At 53.5% G+C, this 26788-nt stretch overlaps 1 protein-coding gene across 28 annotated transcripts in view, besides 1 other annotated feature; it reads left to right on the forward strand.

Annotated features, from left to right (window-relative positions):
- The window catches only part of AGPAT3 (1-acylglycerol-3-phosphate O-acyltransferase 3), a 122370-nt gene that overhangs the window by 81451 nt on the left and 14131 nt on the right, over window positions 1-26788 (forward strand). For 15 of the 28 annotated variants that reach the window (XM_047440922.1, XM_047440916.1, XM_047440921.1 and 12 more), the window contains 5 exons: window positions 12961-13186; window positions 21273-21442; window positions 22445-22606; window positions 23980-24133; window positions 24715-24817. In XM_047440922.1, the coding sequence (XP_047296878.1) occupies window positions 12961-13186; window positions 21273-21442; window positions 22445-22606; window positions 23980-24133; window positions 24715-24817 (815 nt within the window). Of the gene's footprint in view, window positions 1-309; window positions 386-1480; window positions 1670-7876; window positions 8570-9884; window positions 10019-12960; window positions 13187-13958; window positions 14107-21272; window positions 21443-22444; window positions 22607-23979; window positions 24134-24714; window positions 24818-26788 lie in introns of those variants that run through there. The other 13 variants (NM_001369881.1, XM_006724031.4, XM_017028408.2 and 10 more) reach the window with 10 other exon arrangements.
- Window positions 9489-9989: an enhancer, noted in NCBI's record as "H3K4me1 hESC enhancer chr21:45376043-45376543 (GRCh37/hg19 assembly coordinates)". NCBI's record gives its function as "activates a minimal SCP1, AML or CMV promoter by ChIP-STARR-seq in naive H9 embryonic stem cells {active_cell/tissue: H9 hESC(naive)}" and the evidence as "EXISTENCE:reporter gene assay evidence [ECO:0000049][PMID:30033119]".

Raw genomic sequence — 26788 nt, forward strand, 5'->3', positions numbered from 1 at the left:
TTCTATAGAGTAAAAGTAGTTATTATAACGCGTAGTTCGTTGTAAGAAAATTATGTCTAGGTCAACTTAGCTGTGACTGTTTTATGTGTGCATGCATGTATGTGTGTGTGTGTACATGGGCGTGTGTGTGTTTTGGAGTGTGGTCCCCACAAATCTGCCACCCTTGGAGAATGCTCTTCTGCCCTGGTGCATGGCTGTGCCCTAGCATGGGAAGCGCCTGCTGTGTCCTGCAGGCCCGCAGACTTGTCACAGGTCCATTGTGCAGTCATCAGGCCCTGGGAGCTTTCCACATCCCTCCACCTCCCACCCAACATCACCACTCTCCGGCCAGTGAGACCATCACAGCACCCCAGAGGAGACAAATTCTGGAGCTCAGAGAGCTGGGGTAGGTGACGGGAGGGTGGGGGGCTGGAGGTCCTTGGCCAGCAGCCTTCCCATCCTGGGCCACCAGCACCCTCATCCTCCCCTCGTCCTGCCCAGCTCCACCTCCTCCCTGCCCTCTTCCTGCCAGGGTTTGCAGTTTACACTGGCAGTGATGCAGTGGCAGACACAACTTGGGGAAATAACTCTAGGACCCTGGTCTTTAGTTCCGATTCCCGGTGAGACAGTACCTGGCGGGGAGCTTCTCGCCCTCTTCAGAAGTGGCCTGGGGGCCCTGGGGCTACTGATCCAGCCCAAAGCTGCAGTCAGGAGAGCGTGCAGCCGTGTGGGTCTCATAAGAGAGGCCGACCAGGGCTGCCCAAGCGGAGCTTCTGTTTGGCCTCTACCTGCTGGAGTGACGCCCCCGGCATCTCCAGCGAGGCCTGGAAACGTCGCAGTCTCCTCTTCACTGAGTCCAAAGTCACTTCCATCTCGGGCCCGTCCAGTGTCTGTCGGGGCCTTGATTCTGAGATGAGATTGTTTGCTGAAGTGCTCCATGGACTCTTTCAGGAGTGACGTTGTTCTTTCAGGAACTGTAAACGGAGGTGGCATGTAACCAGTGTGGACTAAGAAGCCATGCTGCTGTTTCTTTTCTTTTCTTTTTTTTTTTTTTGAGACAGAGTTTCAAAAAAAACTGCCTCCCGGGTTCAAGTGATTCTCCTGCCTCAGCCTCCTGAGTGGCTGGGATTATAGGCGCCTGCCACCACACCCGGCTAATTTTTTGTATTTTTAGTAGAGACGGGGTTTCACCATGTTGGTGAGACCATCACCATGATGGTCTCAAGCTCCTGACCTCAAGTGATCTGCCCACCTTGGCCTCCCAAAGTGCTGGGATTACAGGCATGAGCCACCGTGCCCAGCCTATGCTGGCTGTTTCTCACAAATGTATATTGAATACGAGCCATTCGCTTAGAAAACATTGATCAAGCATCTGTATTCTATGCCAGGCCCACGTGAGTAAGAGTAATAGCTGTTGATGATGTAAGCTGTGTTTTTGGCCAAAGGTAACAGAGATAGTGATTTAAACACCGTTACCTCTTGTCTTCCCCGCCTCTTGAAGAGGGCAGCTGCTGGTGTGACCTCAGCTGCTCCCCAGACCCTAAGGGGATCTGGGACCTTCCACCTTCTACCAACGGTGTTGGTCTTCTGTCCTCACGCCTATGGTTTCACGCTCCCACAGTGGCTCCTGCACCTTCAGACACTGCCTCCTCACCGAGGGAGGGAAGAACGACAAAGGTGATGACCAGAGGTATTTGTTTCTTGTCTTAGGAAAGCAAAAGCCTCCCTTAAAGCCCCCGCAGACTTCTCCCTGGCTGGACCCAGGGCACATGCCCATCCCATCCCTGGATCACTTGCTCAAAGAGGGGATGGGATTACCTTTATGGCTTAGATCTGGGGCTGGGCTTCCCTCCCATATCCAAGGGTGAGCGCTGCCATAATAGCAGGAGGTTCTGTTACCAGCAAAGGGGGTAGTGGCAGGTAGGTAACTCACAGTGACTTGCATGTTGCAAAAGGCGGGGTTCTGTTATCCGGAATTGGAGGAGTGGTTTTAGGTATGTCATATAATTATGCCTTTAAATCCATTGGTTGAGAAAACAGGCAATGCTAAAAGATTCTCATGAACCTAGCAGCGGTTTTAATTTTGTATTTTATTTATTTTATCAGTATCTAAATACAATAGAAATATAAATACAATAGAAATGGAATGGATCATGTGAGATGTGTGTTGTTGACGAACGTGTAGTCAGTGCTTCATGCACATGGGATCCAAGTCCCCAAACAGTGGCTGCAGATCCACACCCTGCTCCAGGTGCTGAGGTGCCCCAGACAGCTGCTCCTAGTCAGTGAAGCATTGACTCTTTAGTCTCAATTGTTGGTCTGCATGTCTACTGATAAGCCGGTACTGTGCTGTTTTAATTATTGAGGCTTTCTAGATGTTGTAGTGTATTTTAGGGCTATTTTCTTGTTCTTTTTCATGATTTTCCTGGCTTTTCTTCCCTGTTTAGTTTTCCATATGAACTATAGAATCAGTATGTCTAGTTCTGGGGCTGGGGGGGAGCTTTTGCTATTTTAATTAGGATTCAGTTATATATTTAGGTTTATGTATCATTTACATATTACTATCTAACAAACCACCTCAAAATGTATCAATTTAAAACAACCATCATGTCGGGGGGCCCTCAATTCTGTGGGTCAGCAATTTGGGTTGGGCTCAGCAACATGGTTCTTCTGCTGGTTTCCCCTGGGGTCATTGGAGTGGCTGTCGTCAGCTAGAGCTGCCTGGAGAACCTCAGGTGGAATGGCCCATTTCTGGTCCATTTCTGCTCCATGTGGGACCACCTTCTGTCAGACTAGCCCAAGCCACCACCTCTGATGGCCACAAGGGTGTAAGGGAGTGGCAACGCTCTAAAGACTGTCTTGGAAGTCCTGTGACACCAATCCCACCACATTCTATTGATAGGGTGAGCCCTGAAGTCAACCTGGGTTCAAAAGGGTGGGGAGTAGACTCCATGTCTTGGCAGGAGGAGCTGCACGTTACTAAGGGCATGTGTTCAGGGAAGGGGTGGTTGCAGCCTGGTCACACGGGGTTTTTCCATTTGTTCAGCTCTGCTTTTGTATCTTTCAAGATGTTCTGTGGTTTCCTCATAGAGGCTTTATTTCCTCTGAAGCTTTTGTTTAGGTATTTTCTCTTTCTTATTGCAATCTGCGCTCTCCTTCAAGACACCTTCTGCTTTTGTGTGTTCCTGTGGAGGGGTGGTCTGCTGGGCCCCTCTCCTTGGCTCCTGAACACACAAGGGGATCATATATCCATATCCTCCCAAGCTGTAAGCACTTGCGCTGGGCTGCAAACTTGCATCCTACTTGCCGTAGAGGACAGCCCTTCCCCTAAACTTCCAGTTTCCCCCTCTCCCACCTGCCTGAAAGGCACCAGCCAGGCAGTCTTGGAAGCCTCGTGTTGAAGGTGGTGGAGCCCCCAGAGCCTGGGCCCAGATGACCATGTGGGACAGAGCTGCCAGTGACCTAGAGCCATTAAGAGAGCAAGAGATAAACTCTGTGATTGTCTTGGTCTCTTCTGACTGATTCGGAGGCCACTGCAGTCTGCATGTTGTACATTATTCCTGTTAGCATCACTATCAACTCTAGTTCCTGTTGTAGTAGATTTGGATTCTCCTGGGTATTGAGGCTACACAATCGTCTGCACAGACTGACAGTTTCACCTCCTCCTGCCAGACTTTTAGTCTCCTGCTAATTCCAAATGCTGATAAGGTTGGGCTGGCAACAATTTCATATTTTTCAGGCTTATGAAGAGGTAAGGTGGTCTCTGTAAGTGAATTTACCCAAGAACTGAAATTTGCCCTTTAAACCTCAAAATAGGATTGTGTTTGTTTCATCTAAAATTTTAGTTGAATGCTTAGTAGTATCTTCGCTGCTTACCAGACTTCTCAGATAATGTGGTAACTGTGACGCCGCCCTCTCTCAGCATTCGGACGAGATCAGCGTGGGCCACAGTCACCGCATTGTGCCCTCATGCGTGATGTCAGAGAGCCTGCAACCGCGCCCCCGCTGCTCAGTGGCCTCCAAGGGGCCTCAAGTCCTGGGCTCGTTTCTGCCCCAGGTAGTGCTGTCAGCGGCATGCCTGCCTTCTGCAAGCCCCTCTTCCCTGTTCCCCAGCCCGCACTTCCAATGAGCTGTGGGCCAGGAAACCAGCCCGTCACACTTGTCCACGCTGCGTTTAAAGCGGGAGGAAGGAGGACCCAATGCAGGGCCCGAAAGGTCCACTGTGAGTGAAGTCTTTTTCCTTATGGGACACCTAGGCTGGCTTCTCAGAAAGTGTGTGCAGTTTATTTCCGGGTTCTTGGCGGTGTTCTGAATAGTAAACGTTGCCACCTAAATGAAGACCCTTTGAGATATCACTGCGTCTCTACTGTTCCTGATGGTGGACTTTCTCCTCCAGCGTCTGCTGACAGTAACAGTGGAGCTTTCCCCAGCACCCAAGAGCCCGGGGCTCACCGTGGTCCCCTCCTGTGCAGCCAGCACACAAGGCCCTCCCGTGCCACCACCTCGCAGGGGCCAGGTCTGCTCGGCCCACTACACCAGAGCCCTTGGGTGCGGGGTGGGCGGGACAGAGAAGAGGAAGGGGGGAAGGAGGGAGCTGACAGCCGTTTCTCAGTTCCCCATTATGGACTTGGATTTGGATCACTGAAATCCATATGGAACTAAGAAGTTATCTTTATCCCACAACTCAAAACTCCTGTCTAGAGCATCAGAAATGATGTGCTTTTGGCATCCTGAAATGTCTTTCTCCTCCGCCAACTGCTGTCTGCTGAGAGCTAGCCTTGCTCTCGGAAGGGCGGCTTGGGCAGGGCAAAGGGAGAATTCCAGGGTTTGGGAGCATCTGCTGATCCCAGAATAGTTGCCAGTGGTGACATCTTCTTCCTGGACCCCAGGACCCAAGGACAGCAGGTCCCATCCCAGCTCTGCCCAGCTCCTGCCCCTGCACAGAGCAGGACGCCAGCTGGGGTGGGCACTCTGTGGCGTTTTGGGAAGATAGTGCTATATTTCAGAGGCTGTGCCATCTCCTCTGGGGGATTTCAGCGCTGGTGACAGAGGCATGAAAGGCTCATGGATAGACAAACTGGTGTTTACCCCTCATAGAAACGAAGTTGCCGTCCTATGTGTGCAGAGAAAACCAGGGACTCCTCTGTTCAGAAGGAAGAAATGGAGGGGCCTGGTGGGCCTGGCAGCGGTGCGGAGGTGGTGGGCTCGGAACTGTAGTTTCCATTCCATAAAAAGGCGTCTTCGGAAAGGTTGGGGATTTTGGCAAAGAAGGGGGGTCTCTGGGGAGACTGCATGTGGGTGAGATCCTCTGCCTGGCCGGTTTTGGAGGAAGAGGGTCACAGGGACCAGCGACGGGGAGGAGGGTCCACATGCTGCAGCGAAGGACCTGGGGCAGGCAGGGGGTGGGCTGGATGGCGGAACACGGGGATGGGCCCGTACCTCTCCAGAACTACGGACCTGGGATGAGGCGGCCTGTGAGTGCGATTGGGCTGTGTGACGGCACCAGAGGCGGGGCTGCAGCTGCAGGCTTTTGTCGTCCTGTGGTCCTGGAGGCTGCAGGTCCAAGGTCAAGGATTCCTTCTGAGGCTTCTCACCCGGGCTCTGACTGCAGGCGGTCTCCCTTTTTCATAAGGACACCGGTCAGATGGAATCAGCGCCCACCCTGATGATATCATTTAACTTAATTACTGTGTTAAAGGCCCTGTCTCCAAATAAGGTCACATTTCGAGGACCTGGGCATTACCTTTGTGGAAGGAACTCAGTTCACCCTAACAAAAGGTGGCAGAATTGGGTGTGGGCGTGTGGGGCTGGGCTCTGATTGGCAAGCAGTGCTCTGGCCCTGCCCAGGCAGAGGCAGCCTCGTGCCTCACCTTTGCTCCCCTGATCTAAGAAGGTGCACACCCCGGTAGCTTGTGCAGGGGCCAGGACAAAACCCAAGAAGCAGCCATCACGCCCCAGGACCAAGATGTGCTGGCGCCAGGCTTCCGGGCAACCTAAATCTGTTGTTTAATGAAGACGCGCTGGCACCAAGCTTCTGGGCGACCTAAACCTGTTGTTTAATGAAGGGGCTCAGAAGCAACTCAGTGTCCTCAGTGTCTCGGTGGCATCTGAGCAGCCATGAAAAGGTGCCATGGGGACTGGAGAGGCCCACTGTCACACCTCCCAGCCCCAGCCCCAGAAATCAGATGGAGCCCCAGAGGTCCCACCCCTGAGGTCCCACCCTGTGTGGCTCTTCTATCCCAGGCGTTCTCCAAGGTCCCCAGGGTGCTGGGGGCTGCCCAGGCTATCTGCTGCGGTCAGGGTGTCAGTGGTGCCACCATAACCAAGTGAGGCGAGGTTCCACATCGCCGGCCAAGTGGCTTTATGGGCCTCCAGTGGGATGTGGCAGGAAGTACCCAGCGGCTCTGCCATGCATTCTTGACCAGAAATGTTGAACCCGAGTTAATTGTGAGGAAACGGACAAATCCAGGGTGTGGGGCACGCCGCAGAGAGCTGCCTTAGCCGCTTCAACACCATCAGGCCAGAGTAGGCGGGGAGCGTCTCGGGGAAAGGGGACAGAGAGACGTGCCATCCAAATGCATGTGTGTCCTCCACGGGGCCCTGCATCCCCGCAGCTAGGAAGGTCATCTGGGGACAGTTGGTGAAATGGAAACAGGGACGGGATGTTCGGCAGTATTCTGTCGGTATTCATTTCTTGGGTGTGCTCATGGTGTCCTAGTGAGCAGGCTGTCCTGATTCGTAGGAGATGTGGACGGACATGGAGGGAGTGCCGTGACGTAGCCCAGGAGACCTTTTTAGCTTAAAGCCTGTGCATAAGAAATAGGCAAGTGAGTTTTAGATGTTCATACATATTTCATTGCAGAATATTAGTTTAGGGTGATCAATAAAAGACTTTCAAGCCTAATGTTAAGCAAAAGAGACTTTTAATATATTCCACAATGATAAAATCCTGTGGAAGAAGGGCAGTGGGAATGCAGATTCCAGGAGCAAGTGGAACGAAGCCAGCTGTCCAGAAGAGCTTTTTTTGTGGGGTTTGAAAACAGGTGCCAATGGTGGCTGTCAAATCATGATGGCATTTAGGTTCTACTAGCTACATTGGAGAGAAAGAAAAACACTATGCTTTACAGAGTCAAAATCTACAATATGCCAGACTTTACACCCCTTGCATATTTAAACTTGGGCTTAAAAATGTAGAAGCTGGCTGGTTGCAGTGGCTCATGCCTGTAATCCCAGCACTCTGGGAGGCTGAAGCCAGAGAATCACTTGAGCCTAGGAGATCAAGGCTGTGTGAGCCATGATGGCATCGCTGCCCTCCAGCCTGGGTGACAGAGTGATATTCTGTCTCTATAAATAAATAGATGAAAAATAAAAAATAAAAATGTAGACGTCAACTTCACATTGTCTGGGGATGCATAATTTCCTAAAAATCGCTCTCATGGGCTCACGAGCAAATGCTCTAGGGGGCCACTGAGTCCAGGCCCCTCCCAATGCTTTCCTGCTCTGCCAGCCCAAAGGACTTTGAAGCTGGAGGCGGGGACCGGTGTGGCCAAGCAGGGCACCTTCCTCACCGTCACCCTTCTGCAGGGAGGGAGGTGGCCTCTGCCTGCTGCCATTGGAGGTTTGTGCAGTCAGGTTTATCAAGGAGGTCCAGGCGGGCTGGGTGTGGGGAGGTGGAACAGGGTACCTGCGAGGTCTGTGAGTGAAACTACACTGCTGGCTGGACAGAGACATGGCAATGACCCAGGGAAACCGTGTTGAGCGCTCTGGTGGGGGCAGGCGGGCGGGAGAGGCCCCTGAGTTCCGCTAGCTGGAATTAAGCAGGTGAACAGCAGATGTTTCTTGGAATGGAGTCTGGTCCATAGTAAGTGATGAAGATGTGTTTTGACTCCGTATCTAGGACCTCCAGGACGTAGAGGTTGATGATCCGGGCAGGTGGCCTTCAGCGAGGGAGCACGTCAAAAGGCTGTGGGCCGTGCAGACAGCTGGGGGACACCGTCCCGGGTGTGACCTTGGGCCACACGGCAGGGTGGTGGACTTGCTCCTAGAATTGGGCTCCAGGGCTGAAGCCAGCCCCTCTGATCTGGCACTGGCCGGCTCCATTCACCCTTTTTGGGGCTTACTGCCGCAGAGACTTCCTTTGAGGAGAGCTGGACCCAAGACGCCAGAGTTCCGGGGGCACTGAGTGCTGTGTGGCACCCGGGCCAGGAGAAACATGTGCCAGAGGGCAGGCGTGGGCTCTCCGGGGAGTCTCTGCGTAGACTTTCTAGCCCAGAGGTTCAGGTGATGGACCAGAGACTGGCCGCTTTGTGACACCGAGGACGGTTGATAAAGTGGATTCTCGAGGGGAAGCTGCATCCACACAGAGGCTGGGACGTGAATGTGCATCACGGCTCTATCTGTGGCCCCCAAAGGCTGGGTGCCAGCTGCCTGTCGGCAGGGAGCGTATCACCGTGGCACGTCCATGCCGTGGGGGTCACTCAGCAGCCACGGATGCGCCCTGGGTGCTGTCCCGGGGCCGTCTCAGAAGCACCGCGCTGGACCGGCTGGGCCAGATGCCATGGGATTCTGTGTTTGTGAACCTCTAGAAAAGGTAAATTAACCTATAGAGCTGGAAAGCTGACCTGCATTGTCAGGCTGGGTGGGGAAGGACTTGGATGGAAATGTTCCCTGTTGCAGTGTGGTGGGGTCACAGGCGGCTTAGCTTGTCAACACCCATAACGCTATGCACGGACACTCGGCAAACCCATCTTAATCGTGTGTTATTTATTCCTGGATGAAGTTCTTTTCTTTTTTGAGATGGAGTTTCACTCTTGTCACCCAGGCTGGAGTGCAGTGGTGCGATCTCAGCTCACTGCAGCCTCCTCCTCCCAGGTTCAAGCTATTTTCCTGCCTCGGCCTCCCAAAGTGCTCAGATTACAGGTGTGAGCCACCGCGCCCGGCTGAGAATCTGATTTTTAAAAATAAACGTCATGACTGGGTGCGGTGGCTCACACCTGTAATCCCAGCGCTTTGGGAGGTCGAGTTGGGCGGATTACCTGAGGTCAGGAGATCGAGGCCAGCCTGGCCAACATGGCGAAACCCCATCTCTACTAAACATACAAAAATTTGCTGGACATGGTGGTGCATACCTGTGGTCCCAGCTACTCGGGAGGCTGAGGCATGAGAATTGCTTGAACCCAGGAAGCTGCAGTGAGCCAAGATGGCACCACAGCACTCTAACCTGGGCAACAGTGAGATAATCTGTCTCAAAAAAAAAAAAAAAAATCAGATTCCTGTACTTTGCGCCGTAGCAACGGAATCAGCAGGTCTGCTGTGGAGCCCGGGCATCTGCTTCTCGGAGCATCACAGCTGATGTGCTGGCCCTCAAGCAGGCTTCTTGGGACCCTGGTTCTTCTGGGCCAGTGTGGAGTGATGTGTGCCCCTGGGTGAGGACCACCTGGTCTCCTGGGGCTCTGCTGTGTGCCAGGTGGGGGCCAGGTGATGGGCTGCAGGGCGGCCCCCACCCTGTACAACTCAGGATCTGGTCGAATATATCGTCTCTAGCTCAAGAAAGGCGTTCTGAAACAGCAAGCCTGGTCTGCCCAGCGTGTCTGAGGCTCTGCTCTAAGGGGCCCCTGCCCACCCTGGGGGGGCTGCAGTGTGTCTGGGCGAGCACTGACTTCTGAGCCTCGCTATCTGGACTGGCACTGGCTCTACTGCTGACTCCCTGTGTGGCCCCATATGATGCACGAAGCCTCTCTGTGCTTCTGTTTGCTCACCTGTCAACTGGGGCAGTGATGGCATCCTGCTGGGGTCATCTGAGAGTCTGGAATGCGTGAGAGGTGTTCAACACAGACCGTGGAACAAGTTAAGCCCATAAAAAGTGTTTTTGTTGCCCCCTTGTCTTTTCTGTCCTTTCTGTCTAGGGTATTAATTTCCTGTTGCTGCTTTAATGAATCAGCCCACAGTGTGGGGGCATCAAACAGTACAACTCCTTAACCCCACAGTGTGTGGAGTCAGCAATTCAGGAGCGACTTAGCTGGGTGCTGTGGGGTTGCAGGTGAGCTGAGGCCAGGGCTGGGCTCATCTGAAGGTTTGACCAGGGCCAGAGGGCCTGCCTCCCAGGTGGCCCCCTCAGGAGTAGGAGGTCAGCCCCTTCCGCGCAGGAAGGACCTGCCGCTCACACATCCTTGTGATGTGGCCATCCTGGGAGCAGAGCCAGGCAGAAACTGTCCTTTTTGTGACCTAGCCTTGGCAATCACGTAGCACATTTCTGCAAGGCTGTTCATCAGATGCAATGACCAAGTCCAGGCCATAGTCAGAAAGGGAAGAAGACCCCTCCACCTTTCGAGGGGAGGAGCGAAAGTGTTTCAGGCCCATTCCTAAACCATGACCAGAGCTCTTGTCCCCACGGTTTCTGGGGAGCCAAGGGCCCAGTGTCTGGGAGAGGTGACTTTTAATGCCCCATAGGTTGAGAACGTCCAAGGGTGGTGGGAGTGACACTGGCATCTGTGGCCCCCGAGTGCCATTCAAGGCAGCGCCTGCAAATCCCTGAGAGGCAGAGGGTGGGGGCCTGTATGGAGGGCGCTCTGTGGAGTCGGGACAGGGGGTTTCATGGGCGGGTGGGGTGGGCGCCCATGGAGAGCCTTGCTCTGGGTGCAAGAATGGCCACAGTGGGGGCAGCTGGCGGTGTGGAACAGGGGCCGCCCTGGGAATGTGGAAGGCCAGCTGGTGCCACTCCAGAGCCCACCCCTTTGCCCCATGGGAGTGCACTCAGTGCCCTTCCAGAGGACCAAGTCAGGGGTTGGCAGCACCGCCAGCCTGACTGCCAGGGTTTCCCCTCCACACGGGGGGTCTCGGGTTTCCCCTCCACACGGGGGGTCTCGGGTTTCCCCTCCACACGGGGGTCTCGGGTTTCCCCCTCCACACGGGGGTCTCGGGTTTCCCCCTCCACACGGGGTTTCCCCCTCCACGCGGGGGTCTCGGGTTTCCCCCTGCACACAGGGATCTCGGGTTTCCCCCTCCACACGGGGGTCTCGGGTTTCCCCCTCCACAGGGGGGTCTCGGGTTTCCCCCTCCACACGGGGGTCTCTGGTTTCCCCCTCCACACGGGGTTTCCCCTCCACACGGGGGTCTCGGGTTTCCCCCTGCACATGGGGGTCTCGGGTTTTCCCCTCCACACTGGGGTCTCGGGTTTCCCCCTCCACACGGGGGTTGTAGGGCCGCTCAGTAGGAGTGCTGCCAAGAGTGGAGGGGGGCCACCGGCTTCCCTGCTGAAACTGTGAGACGTGCGTAGAAGGAAAGGGGGAGCCGGTGGAGCCCCTGGGGAGTCGCTCCTTTTGTGCAGGAAACCAGAACAGAAATCTTTCACGCTTCAAATACGCACACGAGTGTGGGAGTGAAAAGCATTGATTCCCACACTGAGGGGTTTGTGAGGCCTCCTGGCTCTGTTTGCAGAGATTGATTGTGCAGTTTGGATCTTTTAAATGAGATACTAAATCAAATAAAAATTATGATGCCTTCACCACAAGTTAATCACTATCAATATTTGGGTGTATTTCTTCTAGTCTTTTCGTTTTTTCTTTCTGGTTTGCATGGGAGAGTGTGTGTGTGTGAGTGTGGCATGTTTATGTGTATAGTGCTTGTTGTGTGTGTGAGACTGTGGTGCATATGAGTGTGCATGGGGTGGGGGGATGTGTTGCAGTGTGTGGTGTGTGGTACAATTGTGTGTGTGTGGTGTAGAGTATGGGGCTGTGTGCAGCAGTGCGTGTGGGATGTGGTGTATGTGTTTTGCACTGTGGTGTGTGTGGTTTGTGCTACAGTGTGTGTGGTTTGTGGTATGGTGCTTGCAGTGTGGTATGCACCATATGTGTGAGCGTGTGTGTCGTTTTTGGTGTGTGGTGTAGGTGTGGTTTGTGGTGTGTGTGGTGCGTGTGGCGTGTGTGTGGTTTGTGGTGTGTGTGGCATATGTGTGGTTTGTAGTGTGTGTATGTGGCGTGTATGTGGTTTGTGGTGTGGTGTGGTATATGTAGCATGTGTATGGTTTGTGGTGTGTGGTGTGTATGTGGCATATGTGTGGTTTGTGATGTGTGGTGTGTGTGGCATGTGTGTGGTTTGCAGTGTGTAGTGTGTGTGGTTTGTGATGTGTGTGTGGCATATGTGTGGTTTGCAGTGTGTGTAGTGTGTGTGGTTTGTGATGTGTGGTGTGTGTGGCATGTGTGGTTTGCGGTGTGTGTGTGGTGTGTGGTGTGTATGGTGTGTGTGTGGGTGGTGGGGTGGTGTGTGTGTGGCATGTGTGTGGCTTGTGTGTGTGTGGCGTGTATGTGGTTTTGCGGTGTGTGTGGCATGTGTGTGGTTTGCGGTGTGTGTGTAGCATGTGTGTGGTTTGCAGTGTGGTGTGTGTGGCATGTGTGTGGTTTGTGGTATGGTATGCGTGGTGTGTGTGGTTTGTGGTGTGTGTGTGTCATGTGTGTGGTTTGCAGTGTGTGTGTGTGGCATGTGTTTGGTTTGCGGTATGTGTGTGGCGTGTGTGGTGTGTGTGGTTTGCAGTGTGTGTGGCGTGTGTGGTGTGTGATGTGTGGCATGTGGGGTTTGTGATGTGGTGTGTGTGTGGTGTGTGGTTTGCGGTGTGTGTGGCATGTGTGTGGCATGTGTGGGGTTTGTGATGAGCTGTGGTGTGTGGCGTGTGTGTGGTTGTGTGTGTGTGGCGTGTGTGTGGTATGTGTGTGGCATGTGTGGTTTGTGGTGTGTGTGTGACGTGTGGTTTGCAGTGGTGTGTGTGTGGTTTGTGGTGTGTGGCGTGTGTGTGGTTTGCAGTGTGGTGTGTGTGGCATGTGTGTGGTTTGTATGTGTGTGGCACGTGTGTGGGGTTTGCAGTGTGCTGTGCAGCATGTGTGTATAAGCGTGAGGCATGTGCGGGGTGTGCAGTGAGCAGTGCCCCGGTGTTCCTGTGAGGGTGTGGGCGTGGCCACCCTGACGCTGTCCCTGTCCCTGTCTTTGCAGGACGGCTGTCCTCAGCGAGGGGCCGTGCACCCGCTCCTGAGCAGCGCCATGGGCCTGCTGGCCTTCCTGAAGACCCAGTTCGTGCTGCACCTGCTGGTCGGCTTTGTCTTCGTGGTGAGTGGTCTGGTCATCAACTTCGTCCAGCTGTGCACGCTGGCGCTCTGGCCGGTCAGCAAGCAGCTCTACCGCCGCCTCAACTGCCGCCTCGCCTACTCACTCTGGAGCCGTGAGTGTCTGCTGGGCCAGTCCCTGCCGCCTGGGGCTCCCGTGGGGGTGGCGCGCGACCATGCACGGGGCAGCCGTGGGCTCTCAGGCAGGAAGTGAGGGCTATGCAGGAGGTGCCGAGGCCATCTGGCTGGCAGGCTGTCGGAAGGCACCTGGCTACCTCTTTTTCTTAGCTTGAGCTGTGTGACGTGCCACTCTCACCATTCTGACCCATAGCAATGGCAGCTTCCCACGGTTTACCAGAGCATATGGGAATGTTTAAACAAAAGTAAAGAGAATGTTGAGTTCTGTTTACCCGTTACCAAGCTCCAACAGCTCCCTACATGGCCCCTCGTGTGTCCTGCCCACACTGCGCCAACACCAGAGCATGCTGACGCGTATTTCAGCATGCATCCCTGAAAGAAAAGGTGTCCTGCCTCCCTGCGTATCAAACACATGTGTAGCTGTGTGTCTGTCCGTATGTGCCTCTGTGCGTATGTGTATTATACATAGAGAAACCGATCTGTACCTGTCATGTGGACAGAGACTCAGAGGCTTGGTAACAACACCCACTGTGGACAGGTAACCGCTCACACCGGGCGTCGTGGGGACATGAACAGGCGCATCTCTGGAGGGTGGTTTGGCAGTGGCCGTCAACAGTTTAAGTGGTTGCAATTTTCAACTCAGCAATTCCACAGAATAACATGCAACCTACAGAGATGTGCAAAAGTATGCAACTGGACAGGTGTTCTCATTTTATCACAGGTATTCTCATTATTGTATTATTTTTATAGTAGCACAAAACTAGAAGCAACCCAAGCACCTGTCACTGGAGACTAATTATGCGGCACCCATACAGGGACCCTCTGCGGCCATCATGGAGAGCCTTCATCTTGCCCGTACAGTTTTAAGCGAAAAAGGAAGTATACAACAAAGTCCATAGTATGCTATGATTCATTTTGTGTCTTAAGAAAGGATGCTGTGTGTGTGGTGTGTACATGTGTGGAAAAATCCCAGAAGGGGCTGGGCATGGTGGCTCATGCCTGTAATCCCAGCACTTTGAGAGGCTGAGGCAGGTGGATCACCTGAGGTCAGGAGTTCAAGGCCAGCCTGAGCAACATGGTGAAACCCTGTCTCTACTAAAAATACAAAATTAGCTGAGCATGGTGGTACACACCTGTAATCCCAGCTACTCGGGAGGCTGAGGCAGGAGAACTGCTTGAACCTGGGAGGTGGAGGCTGCAGTGAGCTGAGATCACACCACTGCACCACTCCAGCCTGGGCAACAGAGCAAGACTCTGTCTAAAAAAAAAAAAAAAGAAAACAAAAATCTCAGAAGGATGCCCGAGAAAACTGCGTGATGCTGATATCCAGGGAGTGGGGAAAGGAGGGGATTCTTACGTTTTATTTCACACTCTCATGCTGTTTCCATGTTTTTGCATGAGCGCATAGACACTTCGTCTCATATGGGAAACGGTGAGCGCATAGACACTTTGTCTCGTGGGAAACGGTAAGCGCGTAGACACTTTGTCTCACGTGAGAAATGGTGAACCCACATACACTTTGTCTCATATGGGAAACGGTGAGCGCATAGACACTTTGTCTCATGTGGGAAAGGGTGAGCACGTAGACACTTTGTCTCATATGGAAAACAGTGAACGCGTAGACACTTTGTCTCGTGGGAAACGGTGAGCGCGTATACACTTTGTCTCATATGGAAAACAGTGAGCGCGTAGACACTTTGTCTCGTGGGAAATGGTGAACCCACATACACTTTGTCTCATATGGGAAACGGTGAGCGCGTATACGCTTTGTCTCATGTGGGAAATGGTGAGCGCATAGATACTTTGTCTCATGTGGGAAATGGTGAACCCACATACACTTTGTCTCATATGGAAAACGGTGAGCGCGTATACACTTTGTCTCATGTAGGAAATGGTGAGCGCATAGACACTTTGTCTCATATGGGAAATGGCTGGCCTGTAACCTTGTCTGCACGATCTCCTTCCAGTTCAGGAGCCGGTAGCACTGCTGAAAAGGCTGTTTATGTCAGCTAACTTTTCATGCCTGCGACACCCCACTGTCTGCAGAGAGACTAGTAACCCAGCCCTTAGACTAGCTTGTCTTAAATGTGTTATAGCTTCAGTTCCTGGTTTGTTTTTTCTCTTTTTTTTTTTTTTTGAGACTGAGTCTCGCTCTGTTGCCCAGGCTGGAGTGCAGTGGTGCGATCTCGGCTCACTGCAAGCTCTGCCTCCTGGGTTCACGCCATTCTCCTGCCTCAGCCTCCCGAGTAGCTGGGACTACAGGCACCCGCCACCACTCCTGGCTAATTTTTTTTGTATTTTTAGTAGAGACGGGGTTTCACTGTGTTAGCCAGGATGGTTTTGATCTCCTGACCTCGTGATCTGCCCACCTCGGCCTCCGAAAGTGCTGGGATTACAGGCGTGAGCCACCGCGCCCGGCCAGTTTGTTTCCTTTTTTAAATGAAAGGCTGCTGCTTTTTTCTGTGGGAAGGGAGAATTGGAAATCCTATAATATAAAATATACAAATGAGTTATTCATGAGTATAACTGGATAAGATGAATACATACAAAAAGGGCAAATATTAACTGATGAAAACTAAATTACAGACTCCTACTTTCTAGCAGTATTCTGAAGCTAAAATACTACAAAACAGCTAAATCCTGCCTGAAACTGGCTTTTTAATGCATTTCTGGGCTCACAGTAAGGAAACAAAAACCTCTCAGCTCCACCCTTCCACCAAATCCCTTTAGCAAAAACCGGGGTGTGCAGAAATGGAATGTCAGCACTGCCTTTCAGGAGCCTAACCCTTGGGCAGCTGTAGCAGAGGGCGCTGAAGCTAAACCAGGACTCTTGAGCGAGGGCGCGAGACAAGCTAGGGTTAACAGTGACCCTTGGGTTTCAGCAGAGGCAAACGAAAGTACACTCTGGAGAAAGTCTCATTCAGGCCTGAAGAATCCCACAGATTAAGGAAAATTAAATATGAATTCATAATCAAGAATGACAACGTAAACAGCAGATGTGGACTGAAGATGACCCACTGTGCCCCGACTTGAAAGAGAACCAAGTAGAACTGCTCTCAGTGAGAACTGTAGATATTTTAAAGCAAAAACTTACAGACAGGTTTTGTATCAGATTAGATACAGTTAATGAGAATGGGTACAGAACCAAGTAGAACTGCTCTCAGTGAAAACTGTAGATATTTTAAAGCAAAACCGTATGGATGGATTTTGTATCAGATTAGACACAGTTAATGAGAGAATGGGTACACCAGACATCAATGTGAAGAAATCATCCAGTGACAGTAAAGGAGGTGAAAAATGTGAAATAGGCGTGAAAAGATGTAAGGACAGAATGAGAACCTTCATAAAATAGGGCTTTGGCCCCCATCCCCAAAGGAGAGAACAGGAGAAGCCTCCTGGGAAGAGAGGATGCCTGAGGACCTCCTGAACTGATGAAGGCACGATTTTTCAGATACAGGAAGCACATGTAGACCAAGCAGAGCGAATGCACAGAAATCCACACCTAGGCAGGCCCTGGGGCATCACAGACCATCAGAGACAAGGAGGAGCCGGGCGCGGTGGCTCACGCCTCTAATCCCAGCATTCCAGGAAGCTGAGGCAGGAGGATCCCCTGAGGTCAGGAGTTTGAGACCAGCCTGGCCAACATGGTGAAACCCCATCTCTACTAAAAATATAAAAATTAGCTGGGCCTGGTGGCACATGTCTAATCCCAGCTACTGGGGTGGCTGAGGCAGGGGAATCATTTGAACCTGGTCGGTGGAGGTTGCAGTGAGCCGAGACTGCATCACTGCACTCCAGCCTGGGTGACAGAGTGAGACTCTGTCTCAAAAAAAAAAAAAAAAAAAAAAAGATAAGGAAGTCTTCGAATCCCCGGAGAGGAAAGCTGGAGAACCACGCTGGATGGTCAGCAGTGAGGCCGACAGCAGATTTCTTACGGCAGGCAGCAGTGGCGGGAGAAGGTGGAAGATCCTCAATGTGCTGGAAAATCACCAACCTAGCACCCTGTGTTGTTCAAGAGTACAAATAAAATAAAAAGGTTTTGGTAAACAAAAAAATGAGAGCTTTTACTGCCCATAGATCTTCACTTCAATATTTTTTAAGGATGTGTTTCAGTAAGAACAAAAATTATAAAAGTAGGGTATAATTTTCAAGAAAGAATGGTAGCCAAAGAAATTAGGAGATGGATGAATCTAAACCGTATGTAAAATAAAAACAGTGCTCAGCCGGGCGCAGTGGGTCACGCCTGTAATCCCAGCACTTTGGGAGGCCAAGGTGGGCGGATCACCTGAGGTCAGGAGTTCAAGACCAGCCTGGTCAACATGGTGAAACCCCATCTCTACTAAAAATACAAAAATTAGCCTGGCATGGTGGTGGGCACCTGTGATCCCAGCTCCTCAGGAGGCAGAGGCAGGAGAATCGCTTGACCCTGGGAGGTGGAGGTTGCAGTGAGGTGAGACTGCACCACGCTCAGCTAATTTTTTGTTTTGTATTTTTATTAGAGATGGGGTTTCACCATGTTGCCCAGACTGGTCTCAAACTCCTGACCTCAGGTGATCCGCCCACCTCGGCCTCCCAAAGTGCTGGGATTACAGGCGGGAGCGCCCAGCCCAGGTTCAGATTTTAATGGTAACTTTGTTAAGTATAGGGTAGGAAAAAAGAGAGATCAAACATAGCTTCCAAAGTATTAGAAAAAGATAAAGAAAAAAAGGTAAATCTCTTTTGTTAATGCAAGAAAGTAGAAAGAAAAGCATTAAAATAAGAAATATTGAGGTATACATTAAGATCAATATAAAATTCCCAGATACTTGGGATGACCACAAATACACAAGAAAAGCACTTCAGTAAGAACAGAAATAATCGGCCTCTCCATCTGCTGGGCTTGCGTGGGTATGTGAATTCCGTCTGTGACTTGTTGGATTTGGGATGTTCTCCACTTAGATTTATTTCCATGAATATGTTTGTGGGAGCCTTTCTGCAGTCAGAGGTATGTGGAAGCCTTTGCCAGTTCAGGGGCGCATGGTGAGAGCAGACCTCACAGTGGGTTTGTTTATGTTTGTTTGTTTTTGAGACAGGGTCTTGCTCTGTCGCCCAGGCTGGAGTGCAGTGGTGTGATCTTGGCTCACTGCAATCTCTGCCTCCTGGGCTCAAGCAGTCCTCCTACCTCAGCCTCCTTGAGTAGCTGAGACCACAGGTGTGCACCATCATGCCCAGCTAATTTTTGTATTTTTTGTAGAGACAGGGTTTTGCCATGTTGCCCAGACTGGTCTCCAACTCCTAGGCTCATGTGATCCTCCTGCCTCAGCCTGCTGGGCTGCTGGGATTACAGGCTGAGCCACCGCACCAGCCACAGTGTTTTCTGATGACCCTGAACCACGGTTTTATTTTCAATTCTTCATTCCTGTTCTCATTCCTTAATGCTGGGTGCCTTCTTGCTGCCCATTTTGAACTCACTGCCAGTGTGTCTCTGCTGTCATCTGATGTGCAGAGCTATAGGTGCTGCGGCGAAGGGTGCAGGTTTGGAGCCGTTTAAACAACCTGGCCCAGCCTCCTCACTCCCTGCTGACCTTGGTCAAGGCTTCAGTCTCTAAACCTCAGCTTTCTCATCTGCAGAGCACAGACAAAACCACCTGCCTTTGAGCTGTCTTATAAAGCCTAAATCAATGCGCACAGCAGGTACACAGCAATGCTTGATAAATTGTTACTATTATTGGGTGAATTTTAGGTTTTTTTTGTTGTTGTTGTTGTTTTGAGACAGAGTCTCTCTGTTGTCCTGGCTGGAGCACAGCAGTGCGATCTTGGCTCACTGCAACCTCCATCTTCTGAGGTTCAAGTGATTCTCGTGCCCCAGCCTCCCAAGTAGCTGGGATTACAGGTGCCTGCCACCACATCCAGCTAATTTTTTTTATTTTTAAGTAGAGATGGGCTTTTGCCATGCTTCCCCAGCTGGTCTTGAACTCCTGGCCTCAAGTGATCCTCCTGTCTCGGCCTCCCAAAGTGCTGGGATTACAGGCTTGAGCCACCGCACCCGTCCAGAATTTTAGATTTTTTTAAATCCGTGGTTGAAAAATAGGCTATGGCTGGCTTACTCATTGTGCTTTAGGGAAGCATGTATTTGAGTGAAGGAAATGATAAAAGGAATTTCATATCGGGCCCAGGCGCCGCCCACCCTGCAAGACAGTTTACAGATGCCTGCCCTGACAGCTGTCTGCAGTTAGCCAGCGTCAGCCGAGGGGTCCTGAGATCCGCTGAAGGCTGCCTTTGCATGCCGACAGCAAGGGAAAAGTGCCACATGTCCCTGGGCTTGCCACAGGTGACCTTTGGATGGGACCATTCTCCAGACAGCGCAGCTCGTCTTTCCAGAACACTCATGGGGAGTGTGCCTGTGTCTGGCTGGCTGTGTGGGCTCCCATTCAGTTCATTCCCCTTCTCCAGCCTTTAGGCATGACCCTAAAGGCAGAGGTCTCAAGCACTTGCCAGGGGTGAGCCAGCGGTGGGGGCGCCCCTGCCAGGGCAGGCCTGCTGTGGGGGCTTGGTCAGCGAGTCTTCTCCCCACACGCAGGATTTCCTCCCGTCCACTGCCTCTGCCCACAGGTGACCTTTCTCTTTTAAAGGAATTGGGGTCCCTTGGTACCCCCACAAACCCTGAGTTCCCTCTCTCCTTTCTGCGTCCTTTCTGCTCGCCTGCATGTGCCTGCAGCATCATGACCGCTGGGAAGACACTTCCCTGCACCTGCACGCTGTCTGCAGGCGTCTCTGGCCATCCTGGGCTGAGCTGCGTGATCTCGGGTAGCGGCCCTTTGTTCACCCGTGCAGGATGTCTTTGGAATTGGTCTCTAGTGTCCTTTATAAATAACTGGTATAAAAGAACCCCGGGCAATGGCCTTGCAGAAAGCCCACACTTCAGAGCTGGGCTGGTGTCCAGCGCGAGAAGCCTGAGGCCGTCCTGAGCTGGAAGCCGCGTCCTGGTTCTGTGGGGCCATCCTTCCCGGACAACTGGCTGGGGGGCACAAGACTCTGGTGGCCGACAAGAGGCCCACCTGCTTGGCCTCCCTCTTGTCCTTCCCCACATGGCCCTCTGAACAGGACTAACTCCCTCTGAGGCCCACGTGTGACAAAGATGCACCGTTCTCACCACGGAACTCTTCAGCCCTGCAGTTCTCCCGAAGGTGAATGAGGGCATCCCAGAGTCCCCATCAGGAGACAGACGATGCTGCGTTCCCAGCAGCCCCAGAGCCCTCCCAGGCGTGCAGGTCTCCTGCCGGCAAACAGATCTCCCGGCACGAGCCCCTCCACACTTCTGGGAAGAGTGTCTTCAGCTCACCAGGCCGGAGCCAGGGGAAGAGACCAAGGGAGGAGGCTCCAAGAACCCCTGGGTGGGGGGGACAAGCACTCAAAGCCAGGACTGGCACCCCTCACATGCCAGCACCCACGGGGTCAGGTGTGCCCTGCTGTCTCTGGGGACCCCGCAGGCCTCTGGCCACCTGCCCAGCAGCAAGCCCCGTCGAGCACCCCCAGCCGGCCTTCCTGGGGGCGGGCTAGGCCTCACATGGCTTTTTTTTAAATATGGAAAACCAGTGTAACCCCAAAGCAAGTTTTAGGAGAAAATATAATTCCTATTACTCTGTCGTCTATAATTCCATTCTGCTCTTAACTCTTCATTTTTTCCCACTGTCTGTTCTGCAGACATACGATGGTTGTTTTCTGCTTCCTAATCATCTAGTGACATTTTTCATCTTCTGCACCTCTCACGGGGCGTGGCTGTGCGGTACTCGGCCACACCAAGGTGCACGTGAGAAGCGTAATTGGGCGTAAAGATCAGCGTCTCCATGCAGAGTGGCGGTTCTCTCCCTTTCTGCTGCTACCTTCCATCTGTCTCCTCCCAACTGTTGCTTAGAGAAAGTTATTGTAATTTCATAAAACGTACTCAGTGTAAGTCATCAAAACTCATGTTTAGCAGAGACTTCCTCTCTGGACAAAAATACTGTAGGTGTCTCCTGTGGGCGCTCCCTGACCATCCCAGGAGGAGGGGTCCTACCAGTGCCAACGCCCTCCCCCTGTCCGCAGAACTGGTCATGCTGCTGGAGTGGTGGTCCTGCACGGAGTGTACACTGTTCACGGACCAGGCCACGGTAGAGCGCTTTGGGAAGGAGCACGCAGTCATCATCCTCAACCACAACTTCGAGATCGACTTCCTCTGTGGGTGGACCATGTGTGAGCGCTTCGGAGTGCTGGGGGTGAGCGGGGACCTGGGGAGGGCCACGGGTGAGCAGGAGGGTCCCGGGGAGGGCCGGGGGTGAGCGGGGACCCAGGGAGGGCCGGGGTGAGCAGGGGGTCCCTGCAGGGCTGGGGGTGGGGTGGTGACTGGGAGTGAGCTGGGCGGGGTCCCAGGAGGGCTGGGGATGAGCAGGGTGGGGTGGTCCTGGGGAGGGCTGGGGGTGAGTGGGGGGTCCCAGGGAGAGGCTAGGGTGAGCACCTTCCAGGGGAGGTGCTGGGAGTGAGCGGCAAGGGTCCTGGGGAGGATCTGGGGGAGTAGGCGGGTGCTGGGGTGAGCAAGAGGGCCCTGGGTGGGGGAGGTACTGGGTGGAGCAGTGGGGGTCCCAGCAGAGGAGCTGGGAGAGCCTTGGGTTTCCCAGGGAAAGGGCTAGGGGAGCAGGGGACTCCCTGAGGAGGTGCCGGGGAGGCCCCTGGGGTCCGAGTCCCTGGGTGTTCCTCCTGGGGCGTCTCTTTGAGCTCGGCAGTGGTGCCTGGCTGGTTGAGGGGCCCTGGCCCGCAGGGCCTCAGCTGTCCCCGAGCTGTGCCCTCCTTTCTCATCATGGCCTTTGCCTTTGAGATGACCCCACCTGCGTCCCTGCAGAACCACTTCCGTTAGCTAAGCTGCCTCAGATGAAACCTAAACTACTCCCCGATGCTGGCAGAAGAATTTCATTGCAGTCAAAGCCCCTGTGTGAGGCAGCACCCCCAGGCCACCCCCCGGAAGCCTGGCAGCCTCTGCATCCGGCTCATCCACCTTCCCTGAGGGCCCTCCCAGCCAAGCCTGAGCCTCAGTTTCCTCATTTCTGGGGCGACCCACTCACCCTCAGAAGCCGGGTCCTGCTTCACAGCAGACCCCCTGAGCCACAAAGCCGTGACTCCTAGAGCGACACCACACAGGAGCTGGGTGCAGCGGGAGCCTGGCCAAGCCCCTGGCCTCTGTCCGACGCTGAAGTGCCAGGTGCCCCTCCTTCTCCTCCCTCCAGAGCTCCAAGGTCCTCGCTAAGAAGGAGCTGCTCTACGTGCCCCTCATCGGCTGGACGTGGTACTTTCTGGAGATTGTGTTCTGCAAGCGGAAGTGGGAGGAGGACCGGGACACCGTGGTCGAAGGGCTGAGGCGCCTGTCGGACTACCCCGAGTACATGTGGGTGAGTGCGCGGAGCAGCCCGATACCCTGCATGCCTGGAGGAGGCCACGCCAACTCCTGATGCACGGCTGCCCACATCCCAGGCTGGGAAACCCCATGAGAGCCTCTGCACATGGGGTGCTGTTTCCATGGGGCCATGACTCCCCCATCTGAGCTGCAGGCGTGGAGGCTTCTCTTGGGCCACCTGCTTGCTACTCGCCGCAATCCCAGCTCTGACCAGGCCATCCTAAGGGGATCTGGCCGGGGGAGGGGGCAGAGCAGGGTGCCCCCAGTGAGCCCTGGCTCTGCCCGCCCTGCTCAGTGTGCATCCCCATTCTTTTTCTGTCCCTTCTTCCTGGTCTGTCTTGGAAAATGGGCTGCCTGTGCTGTTAGCATTTCTGTTTTTTTGTTTTCTTGTTCGTTTTGTTGTGTGTGTTTTTGTGTGTGTGTGTGTGTTTGAAACGGAGTCTCGCTCTGTCGCCCAGGCTGGAGTGCAGTGGTGCAATCTCGGGTCACTGCAACCACCACCTCCCAGATTTAAGCGATTCTCCTGCTTCAGGCTCCCAAGTAGCTGACATTACAGGTGCGTGCCACCACACCTGGCTAATTTTTTGTATTTTTAGTAGAGATGGGGTTTCACCATGTTGGCCAGGCTGGTCTCAAACTCCTGACCTCAGGTGATCCGCCCACCTTGACCTCCCAAAGTGCTGGGATTATAGGCATGAGCCAGCTTGCCAGCCTGCTGTTAGCATTTCTTTTTTTTTGTTTTGAGACAGAGCCTTAGTCTGTCACCCAGGCTAGAGTGCAGTGGCATGATCTCAGCTCACTGCAACCTCTGCCTCCCGGGTTCCAGCAGTTCTCCTCTCTCAGCCTCCAAGTTGCTGGGATTACAGGCACTCACCACCACGACTGGCTAATTTTTGTATTTTCAGTAGAGACGGGGTTTCACCATGTTGGCCAGGCTGGTCTTGAACTCCTGACCTCATGATCCACCCGCCTCGGCCTCCTAAAGTGCTGGGATTACAGGGGTGAGCCACCACGCCCGGCCTGCTGTTAACATTTCTAACTCATGCTGTGGCAAGTCGATGAAACCCTCTCTGTTTTCACACTGCTCAGAGGCTGCTGCCCCAACACACCTTCATGTTTCACTTCTTTCTGGAAAGTTCTTTCTGGAGAGCTCTCCTGTGTGAATGAACGTGTGTGACTGGAGTGCAGACTGTGGCCCTAGAATAAAAGAACCTTTCAGTCATAACCCATGCTGCTCGCTAAAGCGGTTCCAAGATTTCCACAAATTCAGCCACAACCTTTGCTGCCTGTCAGAGAGGCAGGCCTGGCCTGGACATGCACCCACCCCAGCTGCTCTGTGGAGTGACCCTGTCTCCGTGTTGATCCTAGTTTCTCCTGTACTGCGAGGGGACGCGCTTCACGGAGACCAAGCACCGCGTTAGCATGGAGGTGGCGGCTGCTAAGGGGCTTCCTGTCCTCAAGTACCACCTGCTGCCGCGGACCAAGGGCTTCACCACCGCAGTCAAGTGCCTCCGGGGGACAGGTAGGCCCCAGACTGCCCGAGCCGGGGCCACCGCTATGCTCACGGAAAATAGTGATTTCTTTAAAAAAAAAAAAAATGAGTGCATTCCATGTGAAACACAGAAGAACAGAAGTGCAAAAGGAATCAAGTGAGGGGGTCGGCGCCGCAAGGTTCCCGCGTCAGGTTTTGAGGTGATAAAATGCTAATTCATGAGAAACAATTAAAATAATAAAAAATACATAATGCAAAACCTTATGAAGGGAAAATAATCATTATTGTATCTTATTAATCCAAAAGGAGTCAAAATAAAAGAAAGGGACAAAGAACAGAAAACAGCCAGACAGCAGGGTCACACTCACAGCGTCAGTACCCATGGGAAACGTCAGCCACTAAATGCCCTCACCAACAGAGAATGGGGAAAAAAGAGGGGGAAAGAAAACTTAGAGAAGAGGTCCTGGTGTGTTCTCCCCAGGACGGGGCCAGACCCCTCACGCGTTCTCCCCAGGACGGGGCCGGGTCCCAGGTGGAACTTGCTTTTCCCTCTGGCAGTGACCATGCAGCCGCCTGGGCTGGGTCATTCACCCTCCCGTCTCCTCCCACAGTCGCAGCTGTCTATGATGTAACCCTGAACTTCAGAGGAAACAAGAACCCGTCCCTGCTGGGGATCCTCTACGGGAAGAAGTACGAGGCGGACATGTGCGTGAGGTGAGGCCAGACCCTGTGGCTCTCGCGCCGCCCCCCATACCTTCATGAGCTTGCGCTGGGCAGAGGCCAGGAGGGTGGCTGGGTCCAGGCCCCACGTCCCACAGCCCCGCAGGGTGGAACTCACACGGAAGGCCTGTCTGCAGCCCTGCCCTGCTGAGCAGACACAGGAGAGGCCCTGCAGGACTCGTCCGGGGCTTGGGTTGCAGGCCACGGAGAGGACATGGAGACACGGGGGATGTGTGGGGAGACTCACCATTGCCCACGGTGTGTTTCATTCCTTTGGGGAAATCATTGACCTGGCTTTCGAGGCCACCTCCATCCTCTCCTTCTGCCTCCTTGGGAAGCCCCTGTAGTTCCCTCTGTAAGATGCTCTGTCCCTTTGTGGGCTTTGTCTCAAACCCCACTGGGCTCCATAAGTCTCCTGGGGCCCACAGTCACACGACCTGGGGGGCATACGGTGCTGACTTCTCACCGAGGGGTGAAACCCAGGCAGGTCTCTTGGTGGGCAGGACGGGACCACCTGCGGAGCCCCTGGCCTGAAGCAGCGCTGGTGATGGGAGTGGCTTTCTGCTGGCCCTGGTGATGGCAGCCGCAGCACGCGAGGGACCGCAGTGTCTGAAGGAGACAGTGGTGAAGGGAAAGGAAGAGCCTGTTTGATTTTTTTTTTTCTTGGAGACGGAGTTTCACCCCATCGCCCAGGCTGGCATGCAGTGGCTCAATCTTGGCTCACTGCAACCTCCGCCTCCCCGGTTCAAGCAATTCTCCTGTCTCAGCCTCCTGAGTAGCTGGGATTACAGGTGCCCACTACCTCGCCTGGCTAATTTCATATTTTTTTAGTAGAGACAGGGTTTTACCATATTGTCCAGGCTGGACTCGAACTCCTGACCTCAAGTGATCTGCCTGCCTCGGCCTCCCAAAGTGCTGGGATTACAGGTGTGAGCCACCACGTTGGGCCGAAGAGCCTTTTTCAAACCCTGTCTTGAGAGTTGGGGCTTCAGTGCTATGGGGCCCCAGTCCTGTCCCAATGAAATAAAATGGGAGTGGCGTGTCTAGACCCCAGGAGGAGCCTGGGGCTTGCTCTGCAGGGTACCAGCGGCTTTCCTTGGGGCAGTGTGTCTCTTTCCCCACACAGTCAGGGCTGTGGGTGCCGCCACCAATCCGTTGCTGCCCTTGGACTCTCCAAGCTTCTCTGGCTCACATAGAGGAGAAAATCCACCCAGAAATCCTGTTGACTTAAAACACAGGCTGGGGTTGTGACCTTGATTCCAGCACAAATCATCATTTCAGGCAGGCCTTTGAGGCACGAAGAAACCGTGCGCTGGATGGCCCTTGTTGAGCTTGTCAGTCTCTGGTTTCATTCAAGTGTGTGCGGAAAGGCAGGGCCCTCCTTGCCACATGTAAAGCTGCACAGAGCGGTCACTATATGTGTTTCCATATTTGCAATCCAACCACCACCAACTGAGTGTGCGTCCTGATCAGCCGAGCCTGCCCACGGTGGCCACAGGCCCTCTACATTCTAATCTCGAGAGCCTGAGCATGTACAAATTAAACGAAGCAAAACGACACCACCCAGTTCTGGCCGTACTATAGGAGGTTTCCAGGAAGGGTTTGTGAACATAAACATAAGCTAGGTAACACTCCTTTCTGAAGTTCAAGGACTGGCTGATTAGAGGCGGAGGCGTTCTTCTCCCGACCCGGGGTCAGTGGGGCCACGAGCTGAGAGTTCTCTCCCTTATGTGCCTAAAACCCCTGGGAGGGAGCTCTGAGCCACTGTGGACCATGGAGGCTGCGGTGACTGACCGGGGCCCTGGACGGTCCAGATGGCAGGCTGGGACAGGACATGAGAGGGGATGATAGCAGCTGGTGGCCCTGTGCCAGATCCTGGCCACAGCTGGCCTCAGTCATCTTCACGAGAGGAGCCCTTGAGGCACGTCTTGCTCTCATCCTTGGGTGGTTAGTGGTGGCTTGAGG

This window comes from Homo sapiens, chromosome 21, assembly GCF_000001405.40.
Source record: "Homo sapiens chromosome 21, GRCh38.p14 Primary Assembly".
Taxonomy (NCBI): domain Eukaryota; kingdom Metazoa; phylum Chordata; class Mammalia; order Primates; family Hominidae; genus Homo; species Homo sapiens.